At 49.4% G+C, this 16,576-nt stretch overlaps 1 protein-coding gene and 1 long non-coding RNA gene across 12 annotated transcripts in view, besides 3 other annotated features; one reads left to right on the forward strand and one right to left on the reverse strand.

Moving 5' to 3' along the window:
* Positions 1-16,576, forward strand: part of KAZN (kazrin, periplakin interacting protein) — a 1,225,220-nt gene that overhangs the window by 927,693 nt on the left and 280,951 nt on the right. The window lies entirely within an intron of this gene.
* Positions 1,576-2,775: an enhancer, noted in NCBI's record as "BRD4-independent group 4 enhancer chr1:15148588-15149787 (GRCh37/hg19 assembly coordinates)". NCBI's record gives its function as "activates an origin of replication core promoter dependent on BRD2, P300/CBP, MED14 and CDK7 cofactors, and independent of BRD4, by STARR-seq in HCT116 cells {active_cell/tissue: HCT116}" and the evidence as "EXISTENCE:reporter gene assay evidence [ECO:0000049][PMID:35650434]".
* On the reverse strand, positions 2,605-12,548 carry LOC124903848 (uncharacterized). The gene is made up of 3 exons (XR_007065476.1): positions 5,253-12,548; positions 3,960-4,077; positions 2,605-2,689 (listed from the first exon to the last, which is right to left on the reverse strand). It is a non-coding gene; the product is annotated as an uncharacterized LOC124903848 (long non-coding RNA).
* Positions 5,500-6,040: an enhancer, noted in NCBI's record as "H3K27ac-H3K4me1 hESC enhancer chr1:15152512-15153052 (GRCh37/hg19 assembly coordinates)". NCBI's record gives its function as "activates a minimal SCP1, AML or CMV promoter by ChIP-STARR-seq in primed H9 embryonic stem cells {active_cell/tissue: H9 hESC(primed)}" and the evidence as "EXISTENCE:reporter gene assay evidence [ECO:0000049][PMID:30033119]".
* Positions 15,439-15,940: an enhancer, noted in NCBI's record as "H3K4me1 hESC enhancer chr1:15162451-15162952 (GRCh37/hg19 assembly coordinates)". NCBI's record gives its function as "activates a minimal SCP1, AML or CMV promoter by ChIP-STARR-seq in naive H9 embryonic stem cells {active_cell/tissue: H9 hESC(naive)}" and the evidence as "EXISTENCE:reporter gene assay evidence [ECO:0000049][PMID:30033119]".

The following is a 16,576-nucleotide window of genomic DNA, read 5'->3' on the forward strand; positions in this document are numbered from 1 at the left end:
GCCTGAACGAAGCTGGAGCGTGCAGAACAAACTGCATGGAATGTCACGTGGGGTTTTCCACTCTCGCCCACAGTGAGTTGGCAATGCCTGGCCACGTGTGCTCTGTGGTCTTTGAACTTGATCTGGGAGGACAGAACTTCAAAAGGAAGATGAAGGCCCCAGCAAGGGAGGTATTCCTGTCTTGAGCAGAAGGTAAAGGTAGAAGGTGCAGATTAGGTACTGGGAATAGTCATGGTTTGGTTTGAATGGAGTAGAAGATTCCAGAGGAAGAGCAGTGGGGCACAGTGGGGAGTGAAGGGGGCCATGGCAGTCTGATGCAGGGAAGGGATACGCCCAAGATGGCCAGGAGAGAAGAGCCGAGGGGCAGGGTGAGCAAAAGGTGAATAAGGGCTCAGACGACATGACGGCACCGGGGATGGCAAGGGCTGGACGCAGCAGGACCGTGGTCTGTTCTGTGATGGATTGTCGGGAGAAACGGGAGCGTGTGAGGAATTGAAAAGGAGGCAACATTCTGATTCTGAGTCTGGATGCCTGAAAAATAGAAGTCCCAGAGATCAAAATAGTAGAGGCTGGAAGAAAAATGGATGGGGAAGAAGTGAGCTTGAAAGAATCCTTAGAAGTCACTGTTATGGGCTTAGTTGTATCCTCTTAAAATTCATATAATGAAGCCCTAACCCTCCCAGACCTCAGAATGTGACTGAATATGGAGGAAGTGTCTTTCAAGAGGTAATTACCGCCTGTAATCCCAGTACTTTGGGAAGCAAAGGCAGGCAGATCACTTGAGGTCAGGAGTTTGAGACCAGCCTAGCCAACATGGTGAAACCCTGTCTCTACTAAAAATACAAAACAAATTAGCCAGGTGTTGTGGCAGGCACCTGTAATCCCAGCTACTTGGGAGGCTGAGGCAGGAGAATCGCTTGAACCCAGGAGGTGGAGGTTGCAGTGAGTGGAGATAGCTCCACTGCACTCCAGCCAGGGTGACTGAGACTCCACCTCTGAAAAAAAAAAAAAAGAGGTAATTACAGTAAAATGAGGTAACTAGGGTGGGCCCTAACCCAATACAACTGGTGTCCTTGTAAGAGGAGGGGATTCGGACACAGATACACCCAGAGGGACAACCAGAGGGGGTCTCAGGGAGAAGACAGCCGTCTACAAGCCACGGAGAGAGGCCTCAGGAGAAACGACCCCTGCTAACACCTAGATCTCAGACTTCCAGCCTCCAGAATTGTGAGAAAGTAAATTTCTATTGTTTAAGCCCCCCAGTCAACCCTGGAAAGCTGGTACTACTGTCACCAGCTGAATCTCCCTGTGTAACAGATGGAAATATTGAGGCCCATGGAGGGAAGCAACTCCCTCCAAGGAGCAGAGTCCCGTCTGCCCTCAGTAGAGCTCTCAGCTCCAGACACGTGGTGGTTTTCTTACCAGACCACACTGCCTCTTGCATCGTGAAATACTGACCGTCTCCCTGTCTGTAGATTTGGTTGTTCAAACAACATGCTGCTACTAAAGAAAGCCTCTGTTTGTTTGTTTGTTTTTTTGGATTAATGATTTTTCTCCTGGAGTTTCCTGGTTCCCCACCTCCACAACAGCGACCCTTCTTGCCTCTTTCCATTCCTGGTCTTGATGGCCAAGCCCAGGAAAACAAAGCTTTCGTCCCAGCCAGGTAACTTGAGGGGGCACGTCACCTGTGACCCTGGGAGGTGAGGTGCCAGGCCGAGAATTCCAGGAGGCACCTGGGAGAACAGGGCAGGGAAAGAGGCTGGACTAGAGATACTGATTCAGGTCATGTGTGCATGGAAGCACTGCGAGGATATGAAATCAGGGAGACAAAAGCAGGAGGGAGAAAACATCCTTGTCTTCACCAAGATTCTTTGGGTCTTTGGGTTTCAAGCAATAGAATCTGCCTCAGGGTTGCTTACATGGTGAAGGAGGATTTCTTGGGAAGACACTGGAATTTCACACAATGCAAAGAGAAGCTGGGCGTTCAGGTCTGGGGAGGGAATTGGAGGCTGGGGAGCCGCCCCTCTCTCAGCCCCTCCCTCCTGGGCTGCGTGTCCTTCCGTCCCTGTGCAGTAGTTCAAATGTCTGTGCACAAAACAGAAAACTCTGACTCACCTTGCCCACACAATGAGAAAAGTATGTTTTCCCACATCACAGCGGGTCCTGACGTAGGATGCCCCAGTGGCCTTCTCTGGAGGCTCCGTCGTGTTCCGGCATCTGGTCTATCCCGTCTTTCCTTCCCACTCACCTCCATCGCTGGCTCTGTGGCGAGTGCTCCTTTCCTGGCATCACGGTGGCCCACACATGAAGACAGGGCTGCATCTAATCCTAGAGAGGGCTGCTTTTCCCAGGCGTCTCTTTCTTAGGAGCCCTCCAGAAGCTCCTCTAGCCCTGGCCCGTGCCGCTTTGGCCACAGCTGAGTCAGGTGCCGAGTGGATCACTGGCGAGGTAAAGGGGATCGCCACCATCCTATGGGGAAGGGGGGCTTCCCAAAGAAAATGGAGGTTCTCTTCGAAAGCAGGAAGGGGTGCCTGGGAGTGTTTGCTGGGGAGACAACTCGGCTTCCCCCTGCAACCAGCCCCGTTCTCCTCCCTCTGTAGAGCAGCCTTCTGGGCATGTGGCACCACACCTGGGAAGGCCCGTCGCCTCGGCCACACATGGGCAGGCTCTGAATCCGGATTCCTAATTCCTAGGAGAGAGAATCCACAACGAACAGCTTCAGTCAGGAGAAAACTGGGCATGAACCGAGACGTCCCCGTGAAGTCATGCAGGACAAACACGCGGCTTAGGGGCATCTCTGGGAGGGAAGGGGGCCGTTTCCAGAGGAAGGAAGTTGTTGGGAAGCCCAGGAGATACCCCAGTGTGGTATCTCCTGCACAGCCTTGGAGAATATGGAGATTGAAGAGAGTAGATACAGAGGTTGGCAACCAAGGCTGGTATCCCCACCCCCACTCCCAAGTAGGAGGTATTTGGAAATTTGGGGGGTCGCTTTGGTTGTCACCAGCCTGGGGGCAGCTATTGGTATTCAGAAGGTAGTGGCCAGGATGTTGAATGTCCTGAAACGCAGGGGACAGTCCTATACAATGAAGAATTATCCCACCAAAATGCCAGCTGTGCCACATAGGGAGACAAAAAGAAAGAAGGGATACTTAAGAAAGCTTGGGAGTGGGAGGGACAGATCGTATAGTGTGTGGAAGCCCAGAAGGGGAGGTCCGCTCAGATTGGAGGCTGGGAGCAGGGCCTAGTTCTTGGTGCTCCAGGAAACCTAGGAAGACAAGACCTAAGCATGGGCAAAATGAGGCCAGGGAATGAGTGGGCCCGGCGTGGTGGCTTGCGCCTGTGATCCCAGCACTTTAGGAGGCCAAGGCAGACGGATCACCTGAGGTCAGGAGTTCAAGACCAGCCTGGCCAACATGGTGAAACCCCGTCTCTACTAAAAACACAAAAATTAGCCGGGCATGCTGGCGCATGCCTGTAATCCCAGCTACTCAGGAGGCTGAGGCAGGAAAATCTCTTGAACCCAGGAGGCGGAGGTTGCAGTGAGCCGAGATTGCACCATTGCACTCCACCCTGGGCAACAGAGCAAGACTCCATCTCAAAAAAAAAAAAAAAAAAGGTTAAAAATCCCAGGGAGGAAGTGGAAGCAGACTTTCAGACTCAATTCAGGCAGGGGTGCAGCGTGATGGGAGGCCTGGTTAGATCCTGATGCTGCTCTTCCTAGGAAGATGAGAAGAGCCCAGGGACAGCACGAAAGAAAGAGAGCTAGAAAGGGATAGGCAGAGGAAGAGTGAACCAGCAGGGCAGGAGACCCTTGGGTTAGAACTTCCATGAACTTGCTCTGCAGACACTGTCAATAAAAGTGCATTGACTACTGCTCCTGGGAGGTATATTTAAGAAATGATAACCAATTATGATGTGTTAGCCTGAAGTTAAAGGAATGGAGAATTCAGTAGACCTACCCGGCACCCAACAGCTGTTGTGTGGGCAGCACTGCAAAGCAGGGAGGAAATGACACAGGTTTCAGAGTCCAAGGAGCGACGCTTGCATCTTGACTGTCCTTGCTGCTCAGAGATTTATCTGAGGGTTAAGTAAAAAAAGATATCTAATGCAGTCCCCAGAACATGGGCGCCATTCCAGAAATGGTGGCAGAATGCTATTTATGTTACTGTGATCATCATCGTCATCATCATCATCATCTTCATGACAGTCACCCCCTTGAGCCTCAGTGTTGCCTCCTCTCCTATGGGGGTAGTATTCTACGGTATTTGCAGCCTTCTTCTATCTGGTTCTCTGTGTTGACTTCCTGACACTTGGTGGCAGAGAATTCCTTGGCTTGGCTCTATGAACCATGAGATATTTTGGTTTGAAGTGTCCCTTCTAGGCTCTACATTTAGTGGCCTCTTGGGGGAAGACTCTTCTGCAGAGGCACTGAGGTAGGTGCTGACCATTTGGCTGTTTGCACGGCCCCCTCTCTGCTGTGAGCCCCAAATGCTGTTCCACAGCGAGGTGTGCTCACAGCGCATCCCCCTTGCTGAAGCCGGGGGTTCACCCACAGCCTTCTCTGACTTTTCCCACTGCCCCAGGCCTAAACAGGGAATTTCAGAGTCTCGCAAAAGCTAGCAAGGACTGCCTTTTAAGTCATGTCCATTCAAAGGCCTGGACCATCCCTGAGGCCGCGAAGGCACAGAGAGAACAGAACAGCTTTTGGGATGTGTTTTATGATGCTCAGAGATCCTATGACTCCTTTCTTGACTCCACTTCTGTGGCTCCACCTGGAAGCTGTCTCTCCAGGCCAGCTTTTCTCATCTGTCCTAGAAAATGCCATCTCCATCACCGCTTCTTTTTGCTGTTTTATCTTTCTCGCTCTTTTTCAGTCATCCCACACTCTCTCTAGACTTTATTTAAACAAGTATGCATTCCTGCTTGCCGCGGGCCTGAAAAAACCATAACGATGTTGTATGTAAAAGAGCTGTCTGTGCCTCCAGGCATGAGGGCTTTTCGTGTATAATTCACATCATCCTCACAAAACTCCAATGAGCCAGCTACTTTTATCATCATCCCCATTTTCCAGGCAAGCAAACTGAGGCACAAAGAGACTAAGTCACTTGCCCAAGGACACATATCTAGTAAGGGACCACGTTGGGATTGGAACCCAGGCCTTCCACCTCTAAAGCCTGTGCACTTAATCCCCAAGCTGCATTCATCCCATTGTCGCCTGATCAAGCCCCACCTGTGTGTTCTTCATACCTTACCTTGCGTGTCATTGACTCCCCAGGACTGGACTTTCTGTCCATGTGTCCACTGCAAGGCCTCTGAGACCACAGCCCTCACTCTTATTTGTTGTTAGTGGTTTAATTCTGTCTCTCTGGTCCACACGCTCCAGGAGGGCACATTGATATCTCCAGCACTTAACCCAAGGCCAGCACGTAGCAGGTGCTCAGTGAACACGCTCTGAATTGGTGGACAGCTGGCTGAATGGTAACAAGACACAGAGATTCAATTGCTCCTCAAAGTCCACATAGCAAAGAAGGGGCTGGACCTGGACTCAGACCCAAGTTTTAGAAAAGCAGGTCCATGCTGGCCGCTGAGTCCCCTGCCCATCGAGAGCCACATGGAAATGTTTTGCTGGTGGAAGCCCGTGCACCCCCATCTGAGGGACAGAGGCACAGAGAGACTCCTTTTGTTGTTCCTCCCAGATTGCAAAAGCAGGAATAAAGGGAAAGAAGGGAAAATTTCCCAGCATGTGACCAGGAGGGTGTGCTAATTGTCTGCGGATGTTCGTAAAAGGCAAGAATCTGTCTCATTGTCAGGCGCTCTGGCGTTGGCCATATGGATTTATTTTAGTGGATTTTTGTGTTGTAGAGTTTCTGATAAACACAGGATGAGTCATTGCCTGCTTCTGCAATTGCACTCAAGCCTGAGCCACCCTCCTCAACACTCTGAGACCTCCTGAGAGCCAGGTTGCAATTTCTGGAAAATTCTACAGAGCGGCCTTGCTGCTCCTGGGGGCGGCTGATGGCCCGTTCCCCATGGGTGTCGCCTCCCTCCTCTGTGCCTTCTCAGCCTCGGTCCCGCGCTGGCCGTTTCCCTCCCATGTCAGTGGTTCTGTCGGTTTCACATGCATGCCCCCACTGAGACTGTTAAGTTCCTCTCCAGTAGCGGCTGGATTTTTTTTCATCTCGGTTTTTACAGAACCTGGTATCCCCACATGCCCAACATGCACCTGCTGAAGGATGAACCTGGAATTTCCTGTTTCCCATTGGTAAGCCTGGCTGGGAATCTGGGCTTAAAAGAATTCAGGCCGCCTTTGCTCTTCTCACCCACTCAGATTTTCATGGACAACAAGTTGGTGCAGCGAAAAGAATGAAGACTTGGGGTCAGACCAAATGGGGTTCAGATCCTGGCTCGGCGGCTGTGTGATGTGGGGTTAGCCAAGCTCTCCGAGTCCCAGTGTCTGTGTTTGTGCTCTTGGAATCAATCCCCACCTATTGGAGCTGCCGTGAGGGCGGAATCAGATGATGTGCGGGAGGCTGCGCACATCAGGCAGTTCTGTGGATGTTGGATGCCTTTCCTCTTTCCCCTCACCTGGGAAAAGAGAGGGATGGGCCCAGTCCTGAGGCATCCATTGGCTAAGGTAACTTTCTGTCATGCAGGGACCCAACCCAGTAGTGATTGACTTGAAAAAACTCAAGGCTGACTCTGAGCATTCTGGGGGCAGGGATTTTGTTTTTTTGTGTTTTGGTTTTTTAAACTTTCCGTAAGTGTTTGGGGTACAGGTGGCATTTGGTTGCATGAGTACGTTCTTTAGTGGTGATTTGTGAGATTTTGGTGCACCCATCACCCGAGCAGTGTACACTGAACCCAACGTGTAGCCTTTTATCCCTCACCTGCTTCCCACCCTTTGCCCTGAGTCCCCAAAGTCCATCATATCATTCTTAGGCCTTTGCGTCCTCGTAGCTTAGCCTCCACTTATGAGTGAGAACATGCGACGTTTGCTTTTCCATTAGGGGCAGGGATTTTATTTGCCTCCCCCTGCACACTAGGCTGACAGACAGTAAAATTGCTTAGGGCTGAGCTGGGTTCAAGAGGAGGGTTGTTGGGAAAGAGGGAGTGGGTCCCAGAGAGGAGCCCTCGAAGCAGGCCCCAGAGGCTGGTAAGCAGCCGCCACTGGCCCTTTGGAGAATGTTCACAAGGGCCTTTCTGCCAGCAAGCTTCAATTTTTTAATAAAGCAGCTGTCTTACCTTCAAAGTTTGGGAACCAGTAATGAGTGGGCATGTCTATGGGATTGAGAAACTCTCCACTCAAGGATCCCCTGGCTAAGGTGGAACAGGAGCCCCTAACTTGGGGTTTCACATGTTGTCATAGGAAACCCTAGAAATAGACTGGGGTTTCTTTTATTCCTTCTCCATTTGCATAAAAGTTGGCTGTGGCCCTTCCTGTCATCTTGGGAAGACGACTAAAGTTAAATAACATTGCTGGAAACAGAGGTCCAATGCTTAAGCCAGAGATGACAAATACTAGCACACAGGGCATAACTCAGCCCTCCCCTGCCTGTGGCAGACATACACAATCAATCACCGAATTCTCTATGCCATCCCTTGGCATACACAATCAATCGACAAATGCTCTATGCCATCCCTGGCAACATAGTCACAGTTCAGGGAACTTTCTGAATTGTGATCATTGTGATCATTTATATTAATAAACATCTTCTCTTTTAAAAAGGAGAAAACAACATAAAATATCTCGGCTAAAACATGTATCACTGCACTGTGTAAATATTCAGGACTCTGGAGATTGCATCTCAATTGTTTTATTTTCGTCCTATTTTATTTGAGTATAAACAATAAATATGTTGCAAATTATTAATGGAAAACCGTGTTTAAAAATTACAGCTATTATCGATCAATTGGATGAAATAATCGCTACAATCACTGGATAATTAGATCCTTCCTGGCCTAAGAGGAGGGTGCATGAGCTCTGGGATTGATTCTCTGCTCAACGGAGTCCCAGAACCAAGAGGAGAGATTCCTGAACCCTGGGGCAGCCACGTTGGCAATTTTAAGTTGCGGTAGCAGTCCATAGTCCCCCCAAGAAAGGAAGAAACTACATCCATTATAAATGCTTTTAGCTGAAGGTTACAGAAACCTTGACTAAAAGTTGCTTAAACTATGTTTTTTTCCCCCACTAAATAAAAAAATGCTGTGGTTGGTAGCACTGGACGGGTACAACAGTCCAAAAGCATCATCAGGAACCCAGTCTCTTTCCATCTTTCCAAGTTGGCATCCAGAGGTTGGTGGTTTGTTACTTCATGGTCACAAGATGGCTGCAGATGCTCCAAGCTCCACATTCCCATTTCAGGCAGGAAGAAGGCAGAAGAGATAGCGAGAGCAACATTTGTACTGCTTTAATCAGGAGATCTCCCGAGAGACTTCTACTTAAGTCTCACTGGCCAGAACAGGGTCACATGGCCACCCTTGCTACAAGAGAGGCTGAGAAAGCGAGGAACAGGATATCCTGGGTGGCTTAAGCCATTAGTTCATGATCCTTCACCTGGGGCTGAGTATACTGTTACTCTGAACAAGCAGGGGCTCTGTTAGCAGGAAAGGAGAGCCTGGAAATTGAGTAGACAGCTAATAGTGTCGTGACTGACTCACGAGAAGACCATGCCCCAAGTCCCTTTGAGCCATGATAGGCATGAATAACAGAGCTATGGATGACTTTATGGTTCCTTGTTCATTGATTCCCTCAACACATATTTAATCAGTATCTAGTGGATATGAGAAATTGTGCTAGGATAAGAAAAGAAGTGCAGAATTATTTAGGAACATGTAACAGAGATGGAGGACAACACAGGAACTTTCTCGGGAAAGTGACAGCTAAGCCAAGAGAAGAAATGAGTAACAGCTGGTTGTGATGGCACATGCCTATAATCCCAGCTACTCGGGAGGCTGAGGCAGGAGGATCTCTTGAGCTCAGGGGTTCAAGGCTGCAGTGAGCTATGATTGTGCCGCTGTACTCCAGCCTGGGTGACAGAGCAAGACTCTGTCTCTGAAAAAAAGAAAAGAGTAACAGTTTGCCAGCTTGTCCCTTGTCCTGTGTGCATGTGTTTATTGGGGTAGGGAGGTGGATTTGTGAGAGGGGCAGACTGGAGGAGAGACGACTGTTACAGGCAGACAGAATGATGTGTGTGAAGGTCTTGATTGTCAAAGAAGCGTGACAAATTTTCAGAGATCAGAGGAGGCTAGTGTGGCCAGAGCATAGAAGGTAAGCCTGGAAAGACAGGCAGACACTGGATAGTGAAGGACCATATGAGCCAACCTGAGTTTAGACTTCGTCCAAAGGTCATGTCTGCCCCAGCCCTGTTCAGGGGCAGTCCCAGGCCCTAGGCTTTGCTAGTGGGAAGCAGGTAAAAGCAGCACTAGCCACTAGCCCCCACTAGCAAGTGGTCAACACATGAGCCTTCTTTGTGGCTATAGTAATCAGTTCTTTCTTCTTTGTGGCTATAGTAATCACAGTTAAGGGTGGGGAAAATGGTTTAATAATAACAGGTGTTGGGGGAGTAGTTATAGCTACATATTATTAAAAAGGCCAAAGGTAGCTGGCTTCAGGCACAGCTGGATCCAGGGGCTCAAGTCGTGTCATCATGAATCTGTCTCTCTTTTTCTAGACTCTTTCTTCCTTTGTGTTGGCTTCACTCACAGACAGGCTTTCCCTGAGCCGTAGCAGGTGGCCATGAGAAGCTCCAGACTTATGTTCTATAAACCTTGGGCCAGAGGGAAAAATGACAGTCCCAGCAAAGGTCCTAGGAGAACTCTCCTTGGCCCAACTTGGGTGACGTGTTCATCCCTGAATGTATCACAGAGAACAAGGGATGCTGTGCTTTAATTGTCAGGCCTGAGTCAGGTGCCCAGCCCTCAGGAGCCTGCAGAGTGAGCCAAGAGAGAAGGGGCGTATTAGTCCATTCTCACACTGTTGTAAAGAACTACCTGAGACTGGGCAATGTATGGAGAAAGGAGGTTTAATTGACCCACAGTTCTGCAGGCTGTACAAGAGGCACGGCTGGGAGGCCTCAGGAAACTTACAATCATGAGGAAGGCGAATGGGAAGCCAGTCTTCCCATGGCAGAGCAGGAGAGAGAGAAAGAGAGTGAAGGGGGAGTGCTACACACTTTTAAACAACCAGATTTCATGAGAACTCTATCTCAAGACAGCACCAGGGGGATGGTGCCAAACCATTAGAAACCACCACCATGATCTAATCACCTTCCACCAGGACCCTCCCACAACACTGGGGATTACAGTTCAACATGAGAGTTGGGTGGGGACATAGCCAAACCATATCAAGGGAGAAATGTGGATGCTGTCATGTTCAGGTGGACTGAGCACCAGGCAGTCCCTGCAGCCTCATTCTTACCTCACCCATCAATGTCAGGATGTGCCTGTTCCCCCAGCTCCAGCCCTTCTCTACCTCTTCATGCTGTGCATCCCATCTGATGACCCAGGCGCTCTCTCCCACTTTTAGTAGAGACAGGGTTTCACCATGTTGGCCAGGCTGGTCTCGAACTCCTGACCTCAGGTGAGCCACCTGCCTTGGCCTCCCAAAGTGCTGGGATTACAGGCGTGAGCCACCACGCCTGCCCAATTCTCTTGTTTTTGCTCATGCCCATTCCCTTGTTTTTGCTTATGCCCATTTGGCTTCAGGTACAGCTGGATCCAGAGGCTCATCCCTGATGGATCACAGAGAAAACCCTCGGTTGTCCTCCACCCAGGATGGAACTGCTTCTAACTGTTCTGGAGAATTCCTGGCAATCCCAGTTCCTCTGCTGCTGCTGCTGCTGCTGCTTCTGCTGCTCCCAAGAAAGTGGGACGCCTCCCTTCCTGTACTCTTCCCTTCCCTGACCTGGCAGAGCCCAGCCAACAGCATTGGTCAGTTCTGCCTTTGATAAAGAAAAATGTCGAAGTTTCCCTCTGTCACATAAAATGAAGATGTGGGTGCTGTGTGTTGCTTTCCGTTCAGCAGTTTCTCAGCGGCCTGGCCAGCACACCACCATGAAGGCATTGATTTATTCCATCTAATACACAGCACTGCTTATTAGTGCTCTCAATCTGACAAGAAATATTGAGCCTACCGCCGAGGTTTTACAAAAATATGAATACATCCCTATCTGGACTCTGAGCTAAGAGAGCATTTTGCCCACTGAATGGGAAACCGAGACAGGGAAATGACAAGCGACTGTGCTGAGGCTCGGGTGGGCCCTGCTTGTCCTTCATTGCCTCCTCCAGCTTATCTTGCCTGGACGCCTCCTCTGAAATCCTCACTGTATTATTCAGGACTCTGGGTTGCGAGTGACAGAAACCCAACTCAAATGAGCATGAGCAAAAACAAGGGAATTGGCTGGGCTTAGTGGCTCACACCTGTACTCGCAGCACTTTGGGAGGCCGAGGGAGGTGAATCACCTGAGATCAGGAGTTCGAGACCAGCCTGGCCAACGTGGTGAAACCCCATCTCTATAAAAGTACAAAAAAATTAGCCAGGCATGGTGGCAGGCACCTGTAATCCCAGCTACTTGAGAGGCTGAGGCAGGAGAATCACTTGAACCCAGGAGGCAGAGGTTGCAGTGAGCAGAGATCGCACCATTGCGCTCCAGCCTGGGCAACAAGAGCGAAACTCCATCTCAAAAAAAAAAAAAAAGACACACACACTCACAAGAGAATTTACTAAGCTACAGGCATGGCTGAATCTGCCACACCCCACACCCCCCACGTCTCTCTATCTCTGGGATCTGCTGTGCTGTGGTGGAGGGGACTTCATTCTTAAGCAGGGCCTCTCCCATCTTAGCCCCTGGAATTTGCAAAACACATCCTTACTGCTCAGCAGCTTCGACAGAGAGAGGATGACTCTTTCCCAGACTTTTCAGTAGACATCCTGGGAGTAATGTTCACTATCTTTGATTGGATCAGTTTTGATCTTGGATCTAGGGTCTAGGCTAAGGGTGTCCAAAATCTTTTGGCTTCCCTGGGCCACACTGGAAGAAGAATTGTCTTGGGCCACACATAAGATACACTAACACTGACGATAGCTGATGAGCTAAAAAGAGAAAGAAAGAAAATCACAATGCCCTAAAAAAGTTTACAAATTCGTATCGGGCTGCATTCAAAGCCATCCTGGGCTAATGCACAGCCCACGTGCCCTGGGTTGGACAAGTATGGTCTAGACCAATCCCGCCACTTGATTCTGCCTGGCCCACAACCTAAGAATGCTATTCACACATTTAAATGGTTGAAAAAAAACAAAGGAAGAGCAATATATCATGACCTGTGAAAGTTACATGAAATTCACGTTTCAGTGTCCATAAAGACTTATTGGAACCCAAGCGTGCTCATTCCTTTAGGGCTTGTCGAAGGCCGCTTTTGTGCTACAGTGGCAGAGTTGAATAGTCAAGGTGGACTATATGGCTTGCACAGCTGAAAAGATATTTATTCATCTAAAATTTTATTTTAAAAATTGATAATGAATAATTTACTTAATCATAAATAAAAGATAAAATTAATATTCTATTTACTCATCTTTATAGAAGAAGCTTGCCAACCCCTGGTCTAGACTGTGTAGCCAGTGAGATGCCTCAGTCGAGTGCCCATCCTTGGAGTGGGTTGAGGCAGAGGGAGTGAACCACTCACCGAGTTGGACCATGGCGTGACAGTGGCAGTGGGTTTCTAGCAGACAGCAGGTATCCATGCTGGACAGAAAGAACAATGAGTGTCCATGCCCCCCCACTGTCTTGGGCTGGGATCTCCTAGAAACAGACCCTGAAACAAATGTGTGAGTACTTGACCTTTATGCAGGAGGGCATCCCTGGGAGCACTGGTGTGTGTGTGGGCAGCAGAATGGGAGTGAGACAGGGAAGGAAAGGGGAGGGGAAGGAAAGAAGTCAATATAGGGTACATTGTTGAGCAGTCACCACAAGGGTTCAATCCTGCTGGGTGTCTCAGTGTGGAGCACACCCCTCAGATATCCCGCCAAGGGGCAGGGAAAGTAGGGTATCCGTCCTCTACCCCCCCCAGGCCCTCATCATAAGCATATGGGTTCTGTCTTTTCTGGGTGATTGTGAGGCAGCCCCTTTTTCCATCTCCTGTGCAGTGAGGATTTCATGAAGTCTTGTTGATGTACAGGTGCCCGGGGGAAAGCATGAGTGGTGACCAGGAGCCTGAAGATGAGAGCTCTCTTGTTCCTCGTCCCGGAACCCTTGCTAATAGACCCTGGAGCCAGGTGTTGCCGCTCCAAGGCTCTGATGACATCCATGCTTCACCAGCAGGTGGTGGCCGCCTCGTTCAGTTCATACAACCTGAAATTCGGGTTTGCCAGAATGTTGGTGTCTAAGAGCCGAGAATGTCATCAACCACAGTTCTTTTGTTACCACACAAAAGGACTCTGCTGTCCTCCCAAGTCATTCACACACACACACACACACACACACACACACACACACACATACACACACATACATACATATATATTTTTTGTTGTTGTTGTTTTGAGATGGAGTCTCACTCTGTCACCCAGGCTGGAGTGTAGTGGTGTGATCTCAGCTCACCGCAACCTCTGCCTCCTGGGTTCAAGCAATTCTGCTACCTCAGCCTCCTGAGTAGCTAGGGTTGCAGTCATCTGCCACCACGCCTGGCTAATTTTTGTATTTTTAGTAGAGATGGGGTTTCACCATGTTGGCCAGGCTGGTCTTGAACTCCTGACCTCAGGCGATCCACCTACCTCGGCCTCCCAAAGTTCTGGGATTACAGGTGTGAGCCACTATGCCTGGCCCCAAGTCACCAAGTCACTTCCTTTTTTTTTTTTTTTTTTTTTTTGAGATAGAGTCTCGCTCTGTCACCCAGGCTGGAGTGCAGTGGCATGATCTCGGCTCACTGCAAGCTCCGCCTCTGGGGTTCACACCATTCTCCTGCCTCAGCCTCCCAAGTAGCTGGGACTACAGGTGCCCACCACCACGCCCAGCTGATTTTCTGTATATTTAGTAGAGACGGGGTTTCACCGTGTTAGCCAGGATGGTCTCGATCTCCTGACCTTGTGATCCACCTGCCTCAGCCTCCCAAAGTGCTGGGATTACAGGCGTGAGCCACTGCGCCCAGCTGAAACAACATCATTTTAAAATTAGCATTATGTGCTCGACAAATTTGTATCGAGTAACTTGCACCAGGCACTGGAAATATAAGAGTGGAAAGAAAAAAGAAAAACAGTCAAAAATTCCTACCCTGATGGAGCTTGGAGCCTAGGGGAATTATTAGTATTAGTATTAGTATTAGTATTATATAATGATGAAATAGTGGCTATTGTTATAACACTGAGTCTGGATTCAGTAGATTTAAAGTGCTGGTTTGGGGCACTCTCCCATTTTAAATGACTTTTCTGCTGCAGAAGACTTCTTTAGCTAGACCACCCGCTAAAAAAAGAGTAGGTTCCCTAATGGTTTTATGTGTTTCTGTGTTCAGTTAAAGCAGGCTTATTTTGGCAAGCAGGCTTTGAAACAGTTTGTCATAAGCAGATTGAGTGCATGGCATTAATTCATTAGAAATGCCCATCCCGCCAGCGGGATCAGAGTTTCTTGATCCCTCCCCGAGAGGTATTGTAATTCCTATCAACTGTGATCATAGAATTTTCTACCTGTCTTTGTATCTGCTTTGCCCTGTGGTCACCAAAGACATATGTTGCCTTAAAGGGCAGTGAGGAAGGATGATGGCATCTGTGACAAGCTCTAAATTGAAGAAAAATTAAAATTGGCTGTAAAGTTTCAGGGTTACCGCAGAGCAAATTCAAAAAGAGGGACAGAATGAGAGATGGGCTACAGCTCCAGAGAGTGTTTCTTGTACCCCGTAGGCAGAGCCAGAGAAAACCTGACGAGAAGGGGGTGGGGGCCGCAATCTGAGTGTCTCTCCTGGAGCCTGATTGGAACACGGGATCAACCATGAGGTGCATTATGTTACTCACTCTGCACAACAGCCCCAGTAAAGTTATGGATAGTCTCATTGTCACGGGAGGAAACTGAAGCGCGGAAGTTAAATAACTGGCCCCAAATTGCACCGTAATAGAAGAGGCAGAGCTGGGATTTGAACCCAGACCTCTATGTTAATAGTGCGTTCCAAGAGCCACTTGTCACTGGAAGGGAAATGGGAGCTGTGCTTCCAGGGCCCCTTTTGTCCCTGTAACACCATCTCCTGCCTCCACCACCCGTAGCCCTTGGCCTGGACTCTTTCCCTGGCTCCTATCCGGGAAACACCTCCCACCCCCGCCCCCTGACAGCTCCCAGGAGTCCCCTTCCTCCTTGACATTGAGGTTTGAGGGGCACCAATGTGTAACACTCCAATTTTCCCTGCTGACTCATAACCCAGTGAGACTGAAAACAAAAGTCAGCAGATGCAGGCCAAAATGTTACCTCTATTGCTGGTAACAGCTGGGTTGGAGATAGAAGAATGGGGATCTCATTAGGCAAACAGACCCTTGTGGGCCAGTTGGATGACAGCAGGCCCCTGAGCCCCTCCGCCCCGCTAGCAGGAGACCTGACCTGTAAGTTTTACAGAAAGTGTGCTTCCTGCAGGCAACTGGCTCCTGAGAGAAGAGGGGACAGAAGCTGAAGCCTGCATGCCCACCTCCCCTCTGGTGCTCGCTAAAGACTCCAGGTCCCCTGGGCAGGACAGAGAGAGGGTGGAGAGAAGCCAGGAGGGACATAAGCCAGAGGACAGGAAGTTTCTGGTCCAGGTCCCCAGGTCCCAAGCCCCAGATTTTAAGCCTGAACTCAAAGCCGCACCTCTGTGTCTCTTACCTGACAGACTGGGGAGTGGGTGGGACGAGCTCCAGCCTCCTCCCTCACTGCCCCAAGCAGCTGCCCCTTTGGCTTCTGAGGGTTTTGTTGCGAGTGGCAAGTGGGAGCCACCAGATGTTCCACCGCTAAAGAGTGACAGAGGTTCCAGGTTCTGACCCTCCAACTCCTCATCCCAACTCTGAAGCTTCATTCAACTTGACGGAAGCTCATCTGGGCCCACGCCTCCTCTTTCCAGACCCACTTTGGTCTCTTCCTCTCTTGAGCATCCCCGAGGCCTGAGAAGTCAGGTCAGGTGAAACCTCAGGCTCCCCAACTCCCACCTCCTGCTCCCCAGCCACCTCCACCCAAGCCAAGTCCTGCACGATGTGGGGAGGGAAATGGAGAGGGGGTGTCTCAGCATGGATTCCCCCACGCCTTGCCTCTCTTTAAAATTTTTCATTATATTCTATTTAATATATTTTAAAGACCTCCATCAATGAATTTGAAAGTTTTAAAATATAATACTTTTAAATGGCACTCTTAGACCCATCATCTCCCCAAAGTACTTGAAACTAATGAGCCCTGCTGAGGCCACCTGCAGGTGCTTCCCGTCCACTCCTCCGCCCCCAGGTAACCGCCTTCCTGAATTCTGTCTTTCTAAAAGCTGCTTTGATCTAATTACACAGCAGTTCTGTCCTGAATGTTGTCTTTCTCATTTCTTTGCTTGTTTTTTTAAAGTTTTGCTGTGTGTTTATAAATCTCTAGAT

Source organism: Homo sapiens, chromosome 1, assembly GCF_000001405.40.
Source record: "Homo sapiens chromosome 1, GRCh38.p14 Primary Assembly".
In the NCBI taxonomy this organism is placed as follows: Eukaryota; Metazoa; Chordata; class Mammalia; order Primates; family Hominidae; genus Homo; species Homo sapiens.